Source organism: Homo sapiens, chromosome 11 (genome assembly GCF_000001405.40).
Source record: "Homo sapiens chromosome 11, GRCh38.p14 Primary Assembly".
Taxonomy (NCBI): Eukaryota; Metazoa; Chordata; class Mammalia; order Primates; family Hominidae; genus Homo; species Homo sapiens.
This window is the reverse complement of record NC_000011.10, coordinates 55,988,130-56,010,802: the sequence shown is the minus strand read 5'-3', so window position 1 is coordinate 56,010,802 and position 22,673 is coordinate 55,988,130. Positions and strand designations below refer to the sequence as shown.

At 36.4% G+C, this 22,673-nt stretch overlaps 1 protein-coding gene across 1 annotated transcript, besides 1 other annotated feature; it reads left to right on the top strand.

Moving 5' to 3' along the window:
- Positions 1 to 16,177: 16,177 nt before the first annotated feature.
- Positions 16,178 to 17,122, top strand: OR5F1 (olfactory receptor family 5 subfamily F member 1). The gene has a single exon (NM_003697.1). The coding sequence runs from the start codon at positions 16,178 to 16,180 to the stop codon at positions 17,120 to 17,122; it is 945 nt and encodes a 314-aa protein (NP_003688.1).
- Positions 18,721 to 18,863: a silencer, noted in NCBI's record as "fragment chr11:55759416-55759558 (GRCh37/hg19 assembly coordinates)". NCBI's record gives its function as "represses an EF-1alpha promoter that drives an FKBP-Casp9 reporter gene in an ReSE screen in K562 erythroleukemia cells {active_cell/tissue: K562}" and the evidence as "EXISTENCE:reporter gene assay evidence [ECO:0000049][PMID:32094911]".

The following is a 22,673-nucleotide window of genomic DNA, read 5'->3' as shown; positions in this document are numbered from 1 at the left end:
TAAAGCTCTCCTCATGTACCTATCTTTACATATATTCCATTGATAAGTCTCTCTGAAAAACCTTGACTAATACAGATTTGTGTGCTAAGAATGGCTGTAGAGAAACATATATATTTTTTTCTTTCCATCTTTTACTTTAAGTTCAGAGAGTATATGTGCAAGTTTCTTACATGGGTAAATTTCACGTCACAGGGGTTGGTGTACAGATTACTTCATCACCCTGGTCATGAGCATAGTACCTGATGGGTACTTTTTCCATCCTTACCCTCCTCCCAGCCTCTCCCTCCAGTACACCCCAGTGTCTATTTTCTACTTTGTGTGAATGTATACTCAATGTTTAGCTTCCACCTATAAGTGAGAACAGGTAGCATTTGGTTTTCTATTCCTAATTTATTTCCCTTGAGACAATGGCCCCCAACTCCAAGCATGTTGCTACAAATGACAAGATTTGATTCTTTTTTATGGCTGTGTAGTATTCCATGGTCTACATGTACCACATTTTCTTGAATTAGTCCACTGTTGATGGGCATCTAGATTGAATACGTGTCTTTGCTATGGTGAAAAATGTTGCCATGAACATACGCTGGCATGTCCTTTTATGGTAGAATGACCCCTTTGGGTATATTCCCAGTAAAGGGATTTCTACCTCAAATGGAATTCCTGTTTTAAATTATTTGAGAAATCTCCAAACTGCTTTTCACAATGACTGAATTACTTTACATTCTCAGCAGCAGGGTATAAACATTCCCTTTTCTCCACAGCCTCACCATCATGTTATTTTCTGACTTTTTAATAATAGAAATTCTGATTGGTGAGCGATGGAACCTCAATGTGGTTTTGATTTGCATTTCTTTAATGGTTAGTGATGAGCAGTTTTTCATGTTTGTTGACTGTGTGTATGTCTTCTTCTGAGACGTGTCTGTTCACAAGTTTTGCCTATTTTTTATAGAGTTATTTTTTTGTTTGTTAATTTGTTTAAGTTCCTTGTAATTCTGGTTATTAGGCTTTTGTGAGATGCATAGTTTGCAAATATTTTTTCCCGTTCTGTAGGGTTACTCTGTTGATAACTTTCTTTGCTCTACAGAAGCTCTTTAGATTAATTAGGTGTCACTTGTCAATTTTGGTTTTGTTGCAATTGTTTTTGGAATCCTTGTCATGAAATCTTCACCAGGGCCTATGTCAGAATGGTATTTTCTAGGTTTTTTTCTAGGGTTTTTATAGTTTTAGGTTTTACATTTAAATCCTTAACCCATCTTTAGTTGATTCTTGTATATGGTGAAAGATAAAGGTCCAGTTTCAGTCTTCTGCATATGGTTAGCCAGTTATCCCAGCACCATTTATTAAATAGCCCTTTCCCTATTGCTTGGAGAAACAGAATTTTAAGGATGAGTTTAACCAGTTAATTTTGAGGTTTGTGGAATTGACTCTCTAATGAGGCATAAAAATGCTAAGGACTCTACTTCCAATAGCACAGAGAGCACTGACAATCCATGTCATGAATTGTTCACAGAGATATGGAAAATATCTGCATTGCATACTTCTAATCAACTCCTTTTAAGAGTCAAGGAACTTGGTAACTTCATGTATGATACTTTCATACATTTGTGGAAAAATAAGGAATATAAAGACATTGGTTTGTTACTGCTAGACAAAGGGAGGAAAGAAGTGGATGAGCTCAGGGTTTTGAATTCCTGGCTTTAGCTCTACATAAATAGCTTAAGAGCTTCTAAATACATCCTGAAGGAAAATCTCTCCTGTAGCCACAAAGCTGAAATTGCTGAAAATCAAGAAAAGTTCTCATCATTTGATTGACTGACTTATAAGGAGAGTTCAATTCTCAGCATTGAAAGATGTCTAATATCAAAGAGAGGGCATTGGTTTGGAGGGAATCAGATCCTGTCAGTTAGAATAGGGATGTGTGGGAAAATCCTGGCAAAGATGCAGATATTAAACTCCTACATTGTGAGTCTTGCTTTCCAGTTTTAGTGACCTCCCCACACCCTAGTGGTGGTAGCCTCCTCACCCATAGTGGTATCTCCCTTCCCAAGGTGATTAAATCTGCATTGCCTGAGGAAACTCTAATGGCCTCTTCCGAGGTAGTTGCTGAGCAAGACAATGCTAATTCTTCTTAGGATTCATTTCATCAACCTTCTTTGCTTCTATAGCATAAATAGACTCAAGTCCCAGCAGACCACTAAGGTGAGATACAAAGTTTGACACATGAGGAGGTGCACTCCACCGCAAAAGAACTGCTTGAGTTCTCTGATTTATACAACAGAAATCTAGGAAACAAGGGTGGGAACAGATACTAATAGTGTGGAATAATGGTGGAAGGATCATAAATTTTATTCTGGCTAAATTTATTGATATGGGCTCACTCAACAGATATTCAATGTTACAGGTTGAAGAGTTTGTTAAAAAGAGAGCTCCCCTTTATTATTTTTTATTGCGTCTATTTGATTCTTCTCTCTTCTTATTAGTTTTGCTAGCGGTCTAACTACCATCAGAGAATACTACAAACACCTCTACGCAAATAAATTAGAAAATCTAGAAGAAATGGATAAATTCCTGGACACATACACCCTCCCAAGACTAAACCAGGAAGAAGTTGAATCTCTGAATAGACCACTAACAGGCTCTGAAATTCTGGAAATAATCAATAGCTTACCAACCAAAAAGAGTCCAGGACCAGATGGATTCACAGCCGAATTCTACCAGAGGTACAAGGAGGAACTGGTACCATTCCTTCTGAAACTATTCCAATCAACAGAAAAAGAGGGAATCCTCCCTAACTCATTTTATGAGTTATGAGGCCAGCATCATCCTGATACCAAAGCCGGGCAGAGACACAACAAAAAAAAGAGAATTTTAGACCAATATCCTTGATGAACATTGATACAAAAATCCTCAATAAAATACTGGCAAACCGAATCCAGCAGCACATCAAAAAGCTCATCTACCATGATCAAGTAGGCTTCATCCCTGGGATGCAAGGCTGGCTGAATATACGCAAATCAATAAATGTAATCCAGCATATAAACAGAACCAAAGACAAAAACCACATGATTATCTCAACAGATGCAGAAAAGGCCTTTGACAAAATTCAACAACACTTCATGCTAAAAACTCTCAATAAATTAGGTATTGATGGGATGTATCTCAAAATAATAAGAGCCATCTATGACATACCCATAGCCAATATCATACTGAATGGACAAAAACTGGAAGCATTCCCTTTGAAAACTGGCACAAGACTGGGATGCCCTCTCTCACCACTCCTATTCAACATAGTGTTGGAAGTTCTGGCCAGAGCAATTAGGCAGGAGAAGGAAATAAAGTGTATTCAATTAGGAAAAGAGGAAGTCAAATTGTCCCTGTTTGCAGATGACATGATTGTATATCTAGAAAACCCCATTGTCTCAGCCCAAAATCTCCTTAGGATGATAAGCAACTTCAGCAAAGTCTCAGGATACAAAATCAATGTACAAAAATCACAAGCATTCTTATACACCAATAACAGACAGAGAGCTAAATCATGAGTGAACTCCCATTCACAGTTGCTTCAAAGAGAATAAAATACCTAGGAATCCAACTTACAAGGGACGTGAAGGACCTCTTCAAGGAGAACTACAAACCACTGCTCAATGAAATAAAAGAGGATACAAAGAAATGGAAGAACATTCCATGCTCATGGGTAGGAAGAATCAATATCTTGAAAATGTCCATACTGTCCAAGGTAATTTATAGATTCAATGCCATCCCCATCAAGCTACCAATGACTTTCTTCACAGAATTGGAAAAAACTACTTTAAAGTTCGTATGGAACTACAAAAGAGCCCACATCACCAAGTCAATCCTAAGCCAAAAGAACTAAGCTGGAGGCATCACACTACCTGACTTCAAACTATACTACAAGGCTACAGTAACCAAAACAGCATGGTACTGGTACCAAAACAGAGATATAGATCAATGGAACAGAACAGAGCACTCAGAAATAATGCCGCATATCTACAACTATCTGATCTTTGACAAACCTGACAAAAACAAGCAATGGGGAAAGGATTCCCTGTTTAATAAATGGTGCTGGGAAAACTGGCTAGTCATATGTAGAAAGCTGAAACTGGATCCCTTCCTTACACCTTATACAAAAATTAATTCAAGATGGATGAAAGACTTAAACGTTAGACCTAAAACCATAAAAACCCTAGAAGAAAACCTAGGCATTACCATTCAGGACATAGGCATGGGCAAGGACTTCATGTCTAAAACACCAAAAGCAATGGCAACAAAAGACAAAATTGACAAATGGGATCTAATTAAACTAAAGAGCTTCTGCACAGCAAAAGAAACTACCATCAGAGTGAACAGGCAACCTACAAAATGGGAGAAAGTTTTCGCAACCTACTCATCTGACAAAGGGCTAATATCCAGAATCTACAATGAACTCAAATAAATTTACAAGAAAAAAACAAACAACCCCATCAAAAAGTGGGCGTAGGACATGAACAGACACTTCTCAAAAGAAGACATTTATGCAGCCAAAAAACACATGAAAAAATGCTCACCATCACTGGCCATCAGAGAAATGCAAATCAAAACCACAATGAGATAGCATCTTACACCAGTTAGAATGGCGATCATTAAAAAGTCAGGAAGCAACAGGTGCTGGAGAGGATGTGCAGAAATAGGAGCACTTTTACACTGTTGGTGGGACTGTAAACTAGTTCAACCATTGTGGAAGTCAGTGTGGCAATTCCTCAGGGATCTAGAACTGGAAGTACCACTTGACCCAGCCATCCCATTACTGGGTATATACCCAAAGGACTATAAATCATGCTGCTATATAAAGACACATGCACACATATGTTTATTGTGGCATTTTTCACAATTGCAAAGACTTGGAACCAACGCAAATGTCCAACAATGATAGACTGGATTAAGAAAATGTGGCACATATACACCATGGAATACTATGCAGTCATAAAAAATGATGAGTTCATGTCCTTTGTAGGGACATGGATGAAATTGGAAATCATCATTCTCAGTAAACTATCACAAAGACAAAAACCAAACACCGCATGTTCTCACTCATAGGTGGGAATTGAACAATGAGAACACATGGACACAGGAAGGGGAACATCACACTCTGGGGACTGTTGTGGGGTGGGGGAGTGGGGAGGGATAGCATTAGGAGATATAACTAATGCTGAATGACGAGTTAATGGGTGCAGCACACCAGCATGGCACATGTATACATATGTAACTAACCTGCACATTGTGCACATGTACCCTAAAACTTAAAGTATAATAATAATAAAATAAAAAAAAGGGAGCTCCCTCTTTTTCCAAGTTTCCCTTGAAACACTTCCAAGTTCAGTGGGCAAAAGTCTAATTGTTTAGTTGGCTGAAACACAGACCAAAAAATGGCCCACCTGGAGTGAGTGGGAGGTCCCTGATCTCCTTTGGGTTAAGTTTCAAGAAATTCAACGTATATGCACCCACAAAAATTAAAAATAAACAAAGATAAAAAAAATGCAATATTTGAGAAGAGTCCCAGGATCCTTGAAAAGCTTCATGATTGCTCTTCTCTGCAGGCCAGATTTTACAGTGAGAATCACAGCCATTCCATTGGAAAACAGAAATGCAATGAGAATAATTGTATTCCAGGGTAGCAGGGTCAAGTGGCAGCACAAAGCTACCAAAGGCAAGGTTGATGTAGTTACCATAATAGACAGCAGAGACAAAGCAACAATCAGAATTGTGTGCTTTGTGTTGACCTGTGGCTTTGGCTAGTTAACCATGGTGTTGCTGGAAGTGAAATAGATAGGAAGCCTGCTAAATTCCTGCTTGATTTGTAAAAGCAGAAAACTTGAAAGTTCAGTGGGCAAAAATCTAACTCAAATAATAAAAACAGGGAATCACGGCCCCTCAATCGATTCCTGGACTTGAGCTAGTTTACAGACCCAGAACCCCTTGAATGAATGGGAGGCCAGATTTTTTCCAAGAAGGACCCCAGTAAACTAACTATTTATACTGCTAATCTTCTTCCCAAGCCTTCCCCAAAGGGACCCATGGCCTTTTACCAGAATAACTATGCACTGGGGAAAAGGAGGATAAAAAAAAGACCTTCTGGGTATTACTGGACACCTGCTCTAATCTGACATTGATTTCAGGAAACCAGAAATGTCACTGTGACTCTCTGGTCAGGTTAGGGGATTACAGAGGTCAGGCGATTTTAGCTCAGGTCTGACTTACAATGGCTCCAGTGGGCCCCAGGAACCACCCTGTGGTTATTTCTCCAGTTCCAGAATGGATATTTAGTTAAACATATGTCAGAGTTGTCACATCCTCACATTAGTTTCCTAAACTGTGGAGTGAGGGCTATAACGGTGGGAAAATGCAAATGAAAGACATTAGAGCTTCCTTTACCTAGGGAAATAATAAATCTTCCCACAATGTTTTCTAATTCTCATTGTAGAGACCTTTCACCTTTGTTAGCTGCCTTCATAGGTATTTTATTCGGTTTCTGGCTAGTGTGAATGGGATTACATTCTTGATTTGGTTCTCAGCTTGGACATTATTGGTATATAAAATGCTACTGATTTTTGTACATTGATTTTTGTACCCTAAAATTTTACTAAAATTATTTATCAGTTCTACAATCTTTTAGATAATGACTATGGAGTTTTCTAGGTATACAATTATATTGCCTGTGAGGAGAGATAATTTAACTTCCTCGCTTCCTATTTGGTGCCTTTACTTTCTTTCTCCCACTTGACTGCAATAGCTAGGCCTTCGATTACTCTGTTAAATAGGAGTGTTGAGAGTAGGCATCTTCGTCTTATCCCAGTTCTCAGAGGGAATGATTTCAGCTTTCTCACATTCAGTATGACATTGGCTGTGGGTTTGTCAAAGATTAATCTTATTATTTTGAGGTATGTTCCTTCAATGCCTACTTTTTTAAGGGTTTTTAATGTAAACGGATGTTGAATTTTTATTGGTAGACCTTTTTGCATCCATTGGAATGATTATGTGATTTTTCTGTTTTGAGTTCTGTTTGTGGGATGAATCACATTTATTGATTTTTGTGTGTTGAACCAACTTTTTATCCCAGGAATAAAGCCTGCTTGATCATAGTGGATTATCTTTTTGAGTGCTGTTAGATTCAGTTTGCTAGTATTTGGTTGAGGATTTTTCCTTTGATGCTCATCAGAGATATTGGCCTGTAGTATTCTTTGTTGTTGTTGTTGTTTCTCTGCCAGGTTTGGATATCAGAATAATGCTGGCCACATAGAAGGAGTTAGAGAAGAGTCCTTCCTCCTCTATTTATTTTTTTTTTTTGAATAATTTCAGGAGGATTGGTACCAGGTTCTCTTTATACTTCTGGTGGAATTCAGCTGGGAATCCATCTGATGCTGGGATTCTGCTTCTTGGTAGGAATTTTATTACTGATTCAATTCTGGTACCTGTAATTGGTCTGTTCAGGGTTTCAATTTCTTCCCAGTTTAGTCTTGGGAGATTATATGTTTCCAGGAATTTATTAATTTATTCTAAGTTTTCTAGTTTGTGTGCATAGAGGTGTTCATAATAGTCTCTTAGGGTTCTTTTAGTTTTTGCATTTCTATGGGGCTGGTTGTAGTATCCCCTTTCTCATTTCTGATTGCTTTTATTTGGATCTTCTCTCTTTTTGATTAGTCTAGCTAGTGGTCTGTCAATCTTATTCATTCTTTCAAAGAACAAACTAGTTTTCATTGAGCTTTTGTATGTTTTTTCACATCTCAAATTTGTTCACTTCAGTCCTGTTTTTATGGATTTCTTTTCAACTGCTAGCTCTGAGATTGGCTTGCACTCATTTTTCTAATTTCTCTAGGTGTGCTGTTAGGTTGTTAATTTGAGATCTTCTAACTTGTTGATGTGGGTATTTACTGCTGTCAACTTTTCTTTTAACACTGCTCTAGTGAGTCCCAGAGACTCTGGTGGGTTGTATCTTTGTTTTCATTAGTTTTAAAAATTTTCTTGATTCCTGCCTTAATTTCATTGATTACCCAAAACTCATTTGGGAGCAGATTGTTTAATTTCCATATAATTGTATAGTTTTCAGAGATCTTATTGTTATTGAGTTTTATTTTATCACTCTGTGTCTGAAAGCATGGTTGGCGTATGTCAGGTTTTTGAATTAGTAGAGAATCGCTTTATGACCAAGTATGTGGTTGATTTTAGAGTATGTGCCAGGTGCAGATGGGAAGAATGCATATTCTGTTGCTGGGTGGAGTATTCTGTAGATGTCTGTTAGGTTCATTTGGTCAAGTGTGGAATATAGATCCCAAATATCTTTGTTAGGTTTATGCCATAATGATCTGTCTACTACTATCAGTGGTTTTTCAAAATCCTTCACTATAATTGTGTGGTTACCTAAGTTCGTCATAGGTATCAAGTAACTTGTTTTATGAATCTGGGTCCTCTGCTGTTGTGAGCATATATATTTAGGATAGTTAAATCTTCTTGTTGAATTGAACTCTTCACCATTATTTAATGCCCTTCTTTTCCTTTTTGATCATTGCTGGTTTAAAGTCTGTTTTGTTTGTAATAAAAATAGCAACTCGTACTCTTTTTCATTTTATGTTTTCTTGATAGAGCTTTCCCTATCCCTTTACTTTGAGTCTGTAGGTGTCATCAGTTTTGAGATGTGTCTCTTGAAGACAACATACAGTTGGGTCTTGCTTATCTATCCAACTTGTCCCTCTGTGCCTTTCACATGGGGCATTTAACCAATTTACATTAAAAGTTAATATGGTGATGTAAAGATTTGATCCTGTCATCATGTTGTTAACTGATTGTGTAGACTTAATTTTATAGTTGCTTTATAGTGTCAATGGGCTATGTACTTAACCTATATTTTTGTGGGGCCAAGTAACAGTCTTGTTTCCATATGCAGCACTCCATTAAGGATCCTTGTAAGACATGTAATTAGAAAAAAAAAAGATCCTAAAATTCATGTGTAACAACAACAACAAAAAAAACCCAAATAGAAAAGCAATCCTAAGCAAAAGGAACAAAACTGGGGACATAAGACTAACCAACTTCAAACTCTACTGCAAGTCTCTAGTAATCAAAATAGCATGGTACTGGCACAAAAACAGACACATAATTCAGTTGAACAGGTTAGAGAACCCAGAAATACAACTGCATACCTACAACCATCTGATCATTAGCAAAATCGACAAAGGCCCTGTGTTCAATAAATGGTGCTGGGATACCTGGCTAGCCATATGCAGAAGATAATACCTACACCCCTACATTTCACCATACATAAAAATAAGTTCAAGATGGATTAAAGACTTAAATGTGAAACCCAAAACTCTTTTTAAATAACTATAAGAAATCCTAGAAAATACTATTGTGACCATAGGCCTGGGCAAAGATTTCATGATGAAGTCTCCAAAGACAATTACCACAAAAACAAAAATAGAAAAGTAGGACCTAATTAAACTAAAGATCTTCTGCATAGCAAAAGAAACTATCAACAGAGTAAACAGAAAACCTACAGAATGACAGAAAATATTTGCAAACTATGCATCTGTCAAACGGTTAATATCCAGCATCTATAAGGAACTTACACAAATCAACAAGCAAAAAATAAACACCTCCATTAAAACATGCACAAAGGATATGAACAGACATGTCTCAAAAGAAGACATACATGCAGCCAACCAGCATATAAAACATGCTTAATGTCACTAACCATTAGAGAAATGCAAATCAAAACCACAATGAGATACCATCTCACACAACTCAGAATGGCCATTATTAAAAAGTCAGAAAATAACAGATGTTCATGGCTGTGGAGAAAAGGGAATGTTTATACACTGCTCATGGGAATGAAAATTAGCTCAACCATTGTGGAAAGCAGTTTGGAAACTTCTCAAAGAATTTAAAACAGAGCTACCATTCAATCCAGCCATCCCATTATTGAGTATATACCCAAAGGAATATAAATTATTTTACCAAAACAACACATATAAGCTTATGTTCATCATAGCACTGTTCACAATAGCAAAGAAATTAAGTCAACCTATTATAGATGCTCATCAGTGGTGGACTGGATAAAGAAAGCATAGTACGTGAACAACATGGATTACTATTTTGTCTTTTTTATGGCTGCATATGATTCCACAGTGTACATGTACCACATTTTCCAAAAAACAAATCTAAGAAGTGTTGGCAAGGATGTGAAAAAAGAGAACCCTTATACGCTGTTGGTGAGAATGTAAATAAGTACAGCCATTAAAGAAAGCAACTTAAATGTTCCAGTTAAAAGTACAAATAGAACTACCACGTAATCCAGCAGTCTCTTTTCTGGTGTATATCCAATGAAGTGAAAACAGAATTTCAGAGAGATATCTGCACTCCCACGCTCATTGCACCATTCTTCACAGTAGCCAACATATGGAAACAACTTAAGTGTCTATCAATGGATAAATGGAGAAAGAAAATGTGGTGTAGGCATACAGTGAAATATTATTCAGTGTCATAAAAGAAGGAAATCCTGACACTTTCAACTATATTGATGAACCTGGAGAGCATTAGACTAAATGCAATAAGCCAGGCACAGAAAGACAAATACTGTATGATCACACATGTGTGTGGTATGTAAAAAAGTTGAATTCATTGAAACAGAGTAGAAAGGTGTTATACACTCTCTGAGGGAATGTGGAGGAGAATGGGTAGATGTTAATGAAAGGGTATAATCTTTCATTTGCAAGATAAACAAGTTCTGGATATTTTATATACAGCATATAAGGATATGGATATGTTAATGAATTTGATTGTGATAATCATTAAATAATATGTACACATATCAAGTCAACACATTTCAATATCTAATATGTTAATTTGATAACTGTATATTTATTTTTTGAATAAAAATAAGTAACATTAATAGAAAATTTTTAACAGAAATCTTTACTTAAAAGCTTTTGATAATGTAATATGATGAGTACCGTAAAAAATAATTTATTGTACACTAAAAACTAAAATAATTGAATTATAAATCTACAGTAATCAAGAACAGCATAGAGTTCAGAAATTGATCCATATATATATATATAGCCAATACAATTTCACAAAATACCAAAGTAAATCTATATAAAAATGATGGTGTTTTGAAAAATGGTAGTGGATAAATTGGAAATTAATTTGTGATAAAAATAAAAGAAAAAAAGAAAGAGAAAAAGAAAGAAAGGATGGAAGAAATAAACCACAAATCCTTCATTAAACTGCATATCAAAATAGAGGGGAAAATGATAGACCTAATTTAAAACTTGAAACAACAGAAAACACTTAAATAAAACAGAAGAAAATCTTTTTGACCTGGGGTTAGGAAAATATTTCTTAGACATTACACAAGAAAACACAAACATATAAGTAAAGCCTCATAAATTCCATTATACTTCTTTATATTTAATTCCTCTCCTTCCTCTAGTCCCTGACAACCACTGGGAAACCACAGATGTGATTTCTGTAATTCTTTTCCCCTTTTTAGAATATGATCTAAGTGAAATCATACAACTTGTAGCCTTTCAAATCAGGCTTTCTTCCTTACTGTGATGTTTTGAAATTCAACCATGCTGTTGCTTGTATCATTTTATTTGTTTCTGTGGGTTTTTTTCTTTTTTGCCTTTATAAGAATGAAACTTCCAAAAGCAATGGACTTAATAATGACTGCTAAGTAGTATTCCATTCTCTTACATAACACTAATTGAGAGAAAATGACATTGTTTCCAAATAAGAGCCATTATAAATAAAGCTTGTCTTTGTATCTATGTACTTGCTTCACTTAATTGAAATTACCTTCTGCTTATAAAAAGCTACTCTCAAAAATGTAAAGTCAAGGCATAAACTGAAAGCATGCATTGTGAAAGTGCATATGCATTAAAGGACTTGTATCCAGGGTATAAAAGGAACTATGAAAAAACAGTAATAATAAAACGAACAACCAAAGAGAAAATTTTCACGGACATTTTACCAAAACAACAAAAAATAGTGATAGCAAGAAAACATATAAAATGTTTAAAATGATTAGTTGTTAGGGAAATTCAAATTAAAACCACAATGAGAAATAATGGCACATCTATCAGACTAGCTAAAAAATGTAAAAGAAAGAAAATGCCAAGTGCTGGTAATGATTTAGAGCAACGGGAACTCCCAGACATTGTTGTGTTGACACAAAACACCGTTTTAAAATGTTGTCAAAGTTTGTCAGTCTCTTAAATAGCTTTTACTTACCTTATGATCCAATAGACTTCCAGTTATTACCCAAGTGAAATTTTAAAAATATGTAGATACAAAGACAAGCTTTATTTATAATGGCTCTTATTTGGAAACAATGTCATTTTCTCTCAATTAGTTTTACATAATGGAATGGACTACTACTTAGTAGTCCATTAGTCCATTGCTTTTGGAAGTTTCTTTTTTATAAAGGCAAAAAAACCTCACAAAAAACAAAGTGATAAAAGAACAACATGGTTGAATTTCAAAACATCATAGTAAAGATGAAGGCCTGATTTGAAAGGCTATAAGCTGTATGATTTCACTTAGATCATACTCTAAAAAGGGGAAAAGAATTACAGAAATCACATCTGTGGTTTCCCAGTGGTTGTCAGGGACTAGAGGAAGGAGAGGAATTAAATATAAAGAAATATAATGGAATCTATGAGGCTAAATGAAATATTCTGTCTTAATTGTGGTAGTTGTTACAAGACTGTATGTGTTGTCAAAGCTCATCAAACTGTACCCTTAAGAATGAAAGTTTTTCCATTGGTAAACTAGTTCAACCATTATGGAAGTCGGTGTGGCAATTCCTCAGGGATCTAGAACTAGAAATACCATTTGACCCAGCCATCCCATTACTGGGTATATACCCAAAGGATTATAAATCATGCTGTTATAAAGACACATGCACACGTATGTTTATTACGGCACTATTCACAACAGCAAAGACTTGTAACCAACCCAAATGTCCAACAATGATAGACTGGATTAAGAAAATGTGTCACATATACACCATGGAATACTATGCAGCCATAAAAAAGGATGAGTTCATGTCCTTTGTAGGGACATGGATGAAGCTGGAAACTATCATTCTCAGCAAACTATCGCAAGGACAAAAAACCAAACACTGCATGTTCTCACTCCTAGGTGGGAATTGAACAATGAGAACACATGGACACAGGAAGGGGAACATCACACACCGGGGACTGTTGTGGGGTTGGGGAGAGGGGAGGGATAGCATTAGGAGATATACCTAATGCTAAATGACGAGTTAATGGGTGCAGCACACCAACATGGCACATGTATACATATGTAACAAACCTGCACGTTGTGCACATGTACCCTAAAACTTAAAGTATAATAATAATTTAAAAAAAGAAAAAAAATGAAAGTTTTTTGTAGGAAAGCTATACCACAATGGCTTTAAGAAATTAATGGTTTCTAAGGCCGTATTGTCCCCATTTAAACATTCATGAATTAAAGTATTTTTATTCATTGTTCTTTCTGCTTCTTCCTGAATAAACTCCTTTCAAAACTTTAAATTAAAACTTCCAGTTCATTCTACTTTTTCAGTCTTTGCTTTTTTAAGGTTTGATAACATCAATCTCTTCTTTTTTCATAGTATTATCTTCTCTCCTTGATTCTAACAAAATTCATGAATTGAGAATATATTGTTTTTCCTCCATCTCTTTCAATTCACAGTTGAGTTTCTCCAGTAAAAATTATTTCACATACTTTCATTCCTTAAGTTATGTATTCTTACATACATAAGCAGATAAATATTGAAAATATAATAGGTAATAATCAATCATGGCATAGGTCTTGATGGCATTGTATTAGTCCATTCTCACACTGCTAATAAAGATGTACCTAAGATGGGGTAATTTATAAAGGAAAGAAGTTCAATTGAATCACAGTTAAGCATGGCTGGAGAGGCCTCAGGGAACTTACAATCATGGCAGAAGGGGAAGCAAACATATTCTTCTTCACATGGCAGCAGCAAGGAGAAGTAGAATGAGCAACAGAGTGAAAAGTCCCTTATAAAACCATCAGATCTCATGGGAACTCACTCACTATCACAAAAGAACAGCATTAGGGTAACCACTCCCATGATTCAATTACCTCCCATGGTGTCCCTCCTATGACATGTGAGGATTATGGAAACTACAATTCAAGATGAGATTTGGGTAGGGACACAGCCAAACCATATCAGACATGATGGTGAGATCTTTAAAAGTCAACTTTTTAACAAATTTCTTGCATTATGTTAGAGGCCTCCCTTTAGATGCTGATGTCTCCTACGTGCTTTGAAGATTGGAGGATTAGATTCACTATGAGATATACATACACACACGCTACATATACACATACACGTAAACATACACACATATATATACACATATAAGCTAAAATGGAGCATGATAGGAAATAGCGAGCTAGGTATTAGTTCTTTATGTTGAAGATTGTGTTCAAGTTTATTCCTCTACTTACCAACAGTTTATCTTTGGGGAAGTTGTTTAACAGATTAAAGCCTTACTTTTTTCATCTATAAAATGTGCGAATAATAATGTCAACCTGAAAGACTGGTTGAGAGAAGTAATTGAGAATTTAAACAAAATAATTAACATAGCAATTGCTGCATTATGAGTTCCCTATGCAAATAGACTCTCTTTGCATTTGAATACCCAATGTAGTATATTTTACGTTGTCTTCTTTTTGAATTTAGATCTAGAAAATCTATAGCTTCATGTCTTTGCAGGATAAGAATCACAAATAGTAACGGCAAAAACCAACACAATTTCAAAATCATAAATATATAATAATTTTTAAATCTATTGTGCTATTTGCTCAGGTTATAGGATTTCTTTAAAAATCATACAATAGATATTTATTAACTACCCTTTCTCACTACCTTTATACAGGAAAATAGCTGAATTTTAAGTCACACCGAAAAAAAGAGGGGTGCACCCACATACTAAAATGGCACAGGGGGAGAACGATAGTTTAGTCACGCACTTAGAATAAGCTAAAAATACAGACACAGAGAGAGTCAGTGTAGATAGACAATTATTTTCCAGAGGTCACAAACCACTTTATGATGTAAGACTTTCATAATGTCTGATTCCATACATCTCTATGTGATCATATTATATTTAATATTGTTTTGAGACAGAGCTCCTGCCTGTAGAGAATTGACTCTGCAATTAATAGCTATAATCTACTCCCCATGGTTACCCTGTCTTCTTGGAGAAAAACAAAATACAAGTGCAGTAACAAGTATTTAATCATAAGGCATCTTAAGATTTTACCAATAGATAATTCAATTTTCCACTGCATTTTTTAAATTAAATTTTCTTCTTTTATTTTTAAGCTCCAACTAAGAACCTCTGATAAAAAAAAAATAATAGTTACTTACTTAGGTAAGTAGCCATCTGGGGAGGAAGTTTTAAAGATTTGGTAATGTTATTAAGTAAGGTGGATAGGTACCCTGTCGGCTGCTTCTTGGAATTAACTTGATAATGGACATTGTAGTATAACAATCATTTGGTTTACTTTTAAAACATCACTAAATTATTTTTAAGGATACAATAGATGTGAAAATATTGATTATTTGAAATGGTCACTCTTTTTGCTGCTTAGGGCTACACATAAGCCATTCTCAAGAGATAAAGTATGAATTTTGGAGTTGAAGAATGTACAGAGTGATTTTGAGAAAATTAAAAAAGAATGCATTGAGTTAAATTCACATACCTGCTCTGAGAATGGGAGAAATTTTAGCAAGAATATTTTTATTATTTTACATTTTGGATGTGGGCTAGTATAGAAACAATAGAACAAAGTATTTGTATTCACAGAAATAGAGTATGTGGACTTCAGCCAGTGATTTGAGAAGCCTACAACTCCAATTCAATACAATCAATTGTTTATTACATGTAAATGCTTACCCATGGGTCCTCTAATATTCCTCTTACTTCAGTAATTATGACATATTATTCTGGGTTTTTGTTTATTTATTTGCCATATGTGACTGTCCTATTAACACTTCTTTTTTTTTTTTTTTGTAAACTTTTAGAGAGGAAAATATGTGCAACTAATACAAAGTTTACACAAAATATATTTCTCATAAATGACCAGAAAAAATTATACCTCACTGACTGAGTTCGTCCTATTGGGATTAGCAGACACGCTGGAGCTACAGATTATCCTCTTTTTGTTTTTTCTTGTGATTTATACACTTACAGTACTGGGAAATCTCGGGATGATCCTCTTAATCAGGATCGATTCCCAGCTTCACACACCCATGTATTTCTTCCTGGCTAACCTGTCCTTTGTGGACGTTTGTAACTCAACTACCATCACCCCAAAGATGCTGGCAGATTTATTATCAGAGAAGAAAACCATCTCTTTTGCTGGCTGCTTCCTACAGATGTACTTCTTTATCTCCCTGGCGACAACCGAATGCATCCTCTTTGGGTTAATGGCCTATGACAGGTATGCGGCCATATGTCGCCCGCTGCTTTACTCCTTGATCATGTCCAGGACCGTCTACCTAAAAATGGCAGCCGGGGCTTTTGCTGCAGGGTTGCTGAACTTCATGGTCAACACAAGCCATGTCAGCAGCTTGTCATTCTGTGACTCCAATGTCATCCATCACTTCTTCTGTGACAGTCCCCCACTTTTCAAGCTCTCTTGTTCTGACACAATCCTGAAAGAAAGCATAAGTTCTATTTTGGCTGGTGTGAATATTGTGGGGACTCTGCTTGTCATCCTCTCCTCCTACTCCTACGTTCTCTTCTCCATTTTTTCTATGCATTCGGGGGAGGGGAGGCACAGAGCTTTCTCCACGTGTGCCTCTCACCTGACAGCCATAATTCTGTTCTATGCCACCTGCATCTATACTTACCTGAGACCTAGTTCCAGCTACTCCCTGAATCAGGACAAAGTGGCTTCTGTGTTCTACACAGTGGTGATTCCCATGTTGAATCCTCTGATCTACAGCCTCAGGAGTAAGGAAGTAAAGAAGGCTTTAGCGAATGTAATTAGCAGGAAAAGGACCTCTTCCTTTCTGTGATTGTTTGGCTAAAAATCTCAACTAAAGAGCATATTTTAGTTACTTTCAAAGTCTAGTTTATATCTACATTTTTTTATTAGAATATTTTCTCAGTAAACACATTCTGTTAATAGTTGTATCCAGTTAGGGATAAAGAAAGTTACCAAACTGATTCAAGATCATGGCATGTTGACTTTACTATGATTCTATATATCTTTGTTAGGTTCTCCAAAATAATGAATATTTTTAAATGAAATTTCATCTAGAAATCAAATGGAATATATGTTCACAGACCAAAGCCACAATGATACATGAAACTGGAAATATAAAATAATTTCTATTATCCATTCTTTTTTTCTTATGCATTATTTTTCACCATTTATGATTTTTAAGGGATTGTTAAATATCACATAGGTGAGAAATGCTATAAGTTTAATATATATTTCTCCTTTGTATTCACTGAACTACTTCTTGGGGGAATAAAATCAAATTTTAGGACTATAGTTTTAATAGGAATTCTAAACTCTGCTTTTTTTACCTCCTCTCTCTCTCTCTCTCTCTCTGCCTGTCTGTCTTTCTCTCTCTCTCTCTCACACACACACACACACACACACACATGCATGAGTGTATTTAAAGAATGTGAGAGTTTCTGCAAAAATGTGCTATCAAGAAAACTCTAATTAGTATGCATCAATTACAGCTATTCTTTTATTCTCTTTCATTCTGCTCCAAATTTTCTAGCCCTGTCCCTCCCTCTTTCCTTGAGACAGACACACATTCAGAAAGACACATGCACACATGTTCAAGTGCTGCAAAGATTTTAATCATTGCATAGTTGCAAGTGATAGATTAATATTCGGTGAATGAATCTGACAAATATTCTTCAAAATAAGTTCTTGGAATTTCCGTTCACAAAAGTCTTTTCTCAATTGCAATGACGTATTAATTGAAAATGGTATTTGTATTAAATGTAGGCATTAATAATGTGGAGATAAACAGGAAGTTGCCTTGGTAGAACTCTGAAAGAAGCTGAGTTGGGGCTGTGACTTGGTAAGGAGACAGACACTTTTATGGAGGGAAATTCCCCATGGCTCTTGCTCTTGACCTTGTCAGTGAATTTGCACCTGATAGAAGTGGCGATGTTCACATCATCTGGGATGTGGGCACAGCAGACACTATGGCCTGTCACAAAATGTTGCCCAACTCCACCATCTTATTTCCCTCAATGGTTCATTTGGGTGAATTTGGCCAGATAGATGTTCATGAATAATTTGGTGTTGTCTATGCACCTACAGATTATTCTCTCACCTTACTGGACCACAGTGGTTACCGGGCCCTGGAGCCCTGTCCACTAAGCAGCTCACCTATGGTTTCCATACCAGCTGACCGCTGTATTATCTCTGCCTCCCCTGTACTGGTATGATTTAATGGAATTACATATGGGACTAAAATATTGTACAAGTAAATGCTTATATTTCTTTTGATGTAGAACTTAGAAACAATGTTTGGGAGATGAAATCCAGTTATTTTGAGATTCGGAGCTTTAGACGTGTTTTGAGCTATGCTCCCTACCCTCTAATTCAAGTCTCTTATGTCTAAACTCACAAAGTCTACAAATATTTTAAAATCAAGAGCTCTTATCACTTGGTGATTTTGCTTAGTTTTTAATTCATTGAATGTGTACTTTTTTTTTTTTAATTAAAGTTTTAGGGTACATGTGCACATTGTGCAGGTTAGTTACATATGTATACATGTGCCATGCTGGTGCGCTGCACCCACTAACTCGTTGTCTAGCATTAGGTATATCTCCCAATGCTGTCCCTCCCACCTCCCCCCTCCCCCTAGCCCACAACAGTCCCCAGAGTGTGATATTCCCCTTCCTGTGTCCATGTGATTTCATTGTTCAATTCCCACCTATGAGTGAGAATATGCGGTGTTCAGTTTTTTGTTCTTGCGATAGTTTACTGAGAATGATGACTTCCAATTTCATCCATGTCCCTACAAAGGACATGAACTCATCATTTTTTATGGCTGCATAGTATTCCATGGTGTATATGTGCCACATTTTCTTAATCCAGTCTATCGTTGTTGGACATTTGGGTTGGTTCCAAGTCTTTGCTATTGTGAATAATGCCGCAATAAACATACGTGTGCATGTGTCTTTATAGCAGCATGATTTTACCCAGTAATGGGATGACTGCGTCAAATGGTACTTCCAGTTCTAGATCCCTGAGGAATCGCCACACTGACTTCCACAATGGTTGAACTAGTTTACAGTCCCACCAACAGTGTAAAAGTGCTCCTATTTCTGCACATCCTCTCCAGCACCTGTTGTTTCCTGACTTTTTAATGATTGCCATTCTAACTGGTGTGAGATGGTATCTCATAGTGGTTTTGATTTGCATTTCTCTGATGGCCAGTGATGATGAGCATTTTTTCATATGTTGTTTGGCTGCATAAATGTCTTCTTTTGAGAAGTGTCTGTTCATGTCCTTCACCCACTTTTTGATGGCGTTGTTTGTTTTTTTCTTGTAAATTTGTTTGAGTTCATTGTAGATTCTGGATATTAGCCCTTTGTCAGATGAGTAGGTTGCGAAAATTTTCTCCCATTTTGTAGGTTGCCTGTTCCCTCTGATGGTAGTTTCTTTTGCTGTGCAGAAGCTCTTTAGTTTAATTAGATCCCATTTGTCAATTTTGTCTTTTGTTGCCATTGCTTTTGGTGTTTTAGACATGAAGTCCTTGCCCATGCCTATGTCCTGAATGGTAAAGCCTAGGTTTTCTTCTAGGGTTTTTATGGTTTTAGGTCTAACATTTAAGTCTTTAATCCATCTTGAATTGATTTTTGTATAAGGTGTATGGGAGGGATCCAGTTTCAGCTTTCTACATATGGCTAGCCAGTTTTCCCAGCACCATTTATTAAATAGGGAATCCTTTCCCCATTGCTTGTTTTTCTCAGTTTGTCAAAGATCAGATAGTTGTAGATATGCAGTGTTATTTCTGAGGGCTCTGTTCTGTTCCATTGATCTATATCTCTGTTTTGGTACCAGTACCATGCTGTTTTGGTTACTGTAGCCTTGTAGTATAGTTTGAAGTCAGGTAGTGTGATGCCTCCAGCTTTGTTCTTTTGGCTTAGGATTGACTTGGCGATGTGGGCTCTTTTTTGGTTCCATATGAACTTTAAAGTAGTTTTTTCCAATTCTGTGAAGAAAGTAATTGGTAGCTTGATGGGGATGGCATTGAATCTGTAAATTACCTTGGGTAGTATGGCCATTTTCACAATATTGATTCTTCCTACCCATAAGCATGGAATGTTCTTCCATTTCTTTGTATCCTCTTTTATTTCCTTGAGCAGTGGTTTGTAGTTCTCCTTGAAGAGGTCCTTCACATCCCTTGTAAGTTGGATTCCTAGGTATTTTATTCTCTTTGAAGCAATTGTGAATGGGAGTTCACTCATGATTTGGCTCTCTGTTTGTCTGTTGTTTGAGTATAAGAATGCTTGTGATTTTTGTACATTGATTTTGTATCCTGAGACTTTGCTGAAGTTGCTTATCAGCTTAAGGAGATTTTGGGCTGAGACAATGGGGTTTTCTAGATATACAATCATGTCGTCTGCAAACAGGGACAATTTGACTTCCTCTTTTCCTAATTGAATACCCTTTATTTCCTTCTCCAGCCTGATTGCCCTGGCCAGAACTTCCAACACTATGTTGAATAGGAGTGGTGAGAGAGGGCATCCCTGTCTTGTGCCAGTTTTCAAAGGGAATGCTTTCAGTTTTTGCCCATTCAGTATGATATTGGCTGTGGGTTTGTCATAGATAGCTCTTATTATTTTGAAAAACGTCCCATCAATACCTAATTTATTGAGAGTTTTTAGCATGAAGGGTTGTTGAATTTTGTCAAAGGCCTTTTCTGCATCTATTGAGATAATCATATGGTTTTTGTCTTTGATTCTGTTTATATGCTGGATTACATTTATTGATTTGCGTATATTGAACCAGCCTTGCATCCCAGGGATGAAACCCACTTGATCATGGTGGATAAGCTTTTTGATGTGCTGCTGGATTCGGTTTGCCAGTATTTTATTGAGGATTTTTGCATCAATGTTCATCAAGGATATTGGTCTAAAATTCTCTTTTTTTGTTGTGTCTCTGCCTGGCTTTGGTATCAGAATGATGCTGGCCTCATAAAAAGAGTTAGGGAGGATTCCCTCTTTTTCTATTGATTGGAATAGTTTCAGAAGGAATGGTACCAGTTCCTCCTTGTACCTCTGGTAGAATTCGGCTGTGAATCCATCTGGCCTGGACTCTTTTTGGTTGGTAAGCTATTGATTATTCCCACAATTTCAGCTCCTGTTATTGGTCTATTCAGAGATTCAACTTCTTCCTGGTTTAGTCTTGGGAGAGTGTATGTGTCGAGGAATTTATCCATTTCTTCTAGATTTTCTAGTTGATTTGCATAGAGGTGTTTGTAGTATTCTCTGATGGTAGTTAGTATTTCTGTGGGATCGTTGGTGATATCCCCTTTATCATTTTTTATTGCGTCTATTTGATTCTTCTCTCTTTTTTTCTTTATTAGTCTTGCTAGCGGTCTATCAATTTTGTTGATCCTTTCAAAAAACCAGCTCCTGGATTCATTAATTTTTTGAAGGGTTTTTTGTGTCTCTATTTCCTTCAGTTCTGCTCTGATTTTAGTTATTTCTTGCCTTCTGCTAGCTTTTGAATGTGTTTGCTCTTGCTTTTCTAGTTCTTTTAATTGTGATGTTAGGGTGTCAATTTTGGATCTTTTCTGCTTTCTCTTGTGGGCATTTAGTGCTATAAATTTCCCTCTACACCCTGCTTTGAATGCGTCCCAGAGATTCTGGTATGTTGTGTCTTTGTTCTCGTTGGTTTCAAAGAATATCTTTATTTCTGCCTTCATTTCGTTATGTACCCAGTAGTCATTCAGGAGCAGGTTGTTCAGTTTCCATGTAGTTGAGTGGTTTTCAGTGAGATTCTTAATCCTGAGTTCTAGTTTGATTTCACTGTGGTCTGAGAGATAGTTTGTTATAATTTCTGTTCTTTTACATTTGCTGAGGAGAGCTTTACTTCCAAGTATGTTGTCAATTTTGGAATAGGTGTGGTGTGGTGCTGAAAAAAAATGTATATTCCGTTGATTTGAGGTGGAGATGTCTATTAGGTCCGCTTGGTGCAGAGCTGAGTTCAATTCCTGGGTATCCTTGTTGACTTTCTGTCTCGTTGATCTGTCTAATGTTGACAGTGGGGTGTTAAAGTCTCCCATTATTAATGTGTGGGAGTCTAAGTCTCTTTGTAGGCCACTCAGGACTTGCTTTATGAATCTTGGTGCTCCTGTATTGGGTGCATATATATTTAGGATAGTTAGCTCTTCTTGTTGAATTGATCCCTTTACCATTATGTAATGGCCTTCTTTGTCTCTTTTGATCTTTGTTGTTTTAAAGTCTGTTTTATCAGAGACTAGGATTGCAACCCCTGCCTTTTTTTGTTTTCCATTTGCTTGGTAGATCTTCCTCCATCCTTTTATTTTGAGCCTATGTGTGTCTCTGCACGTGAGATGG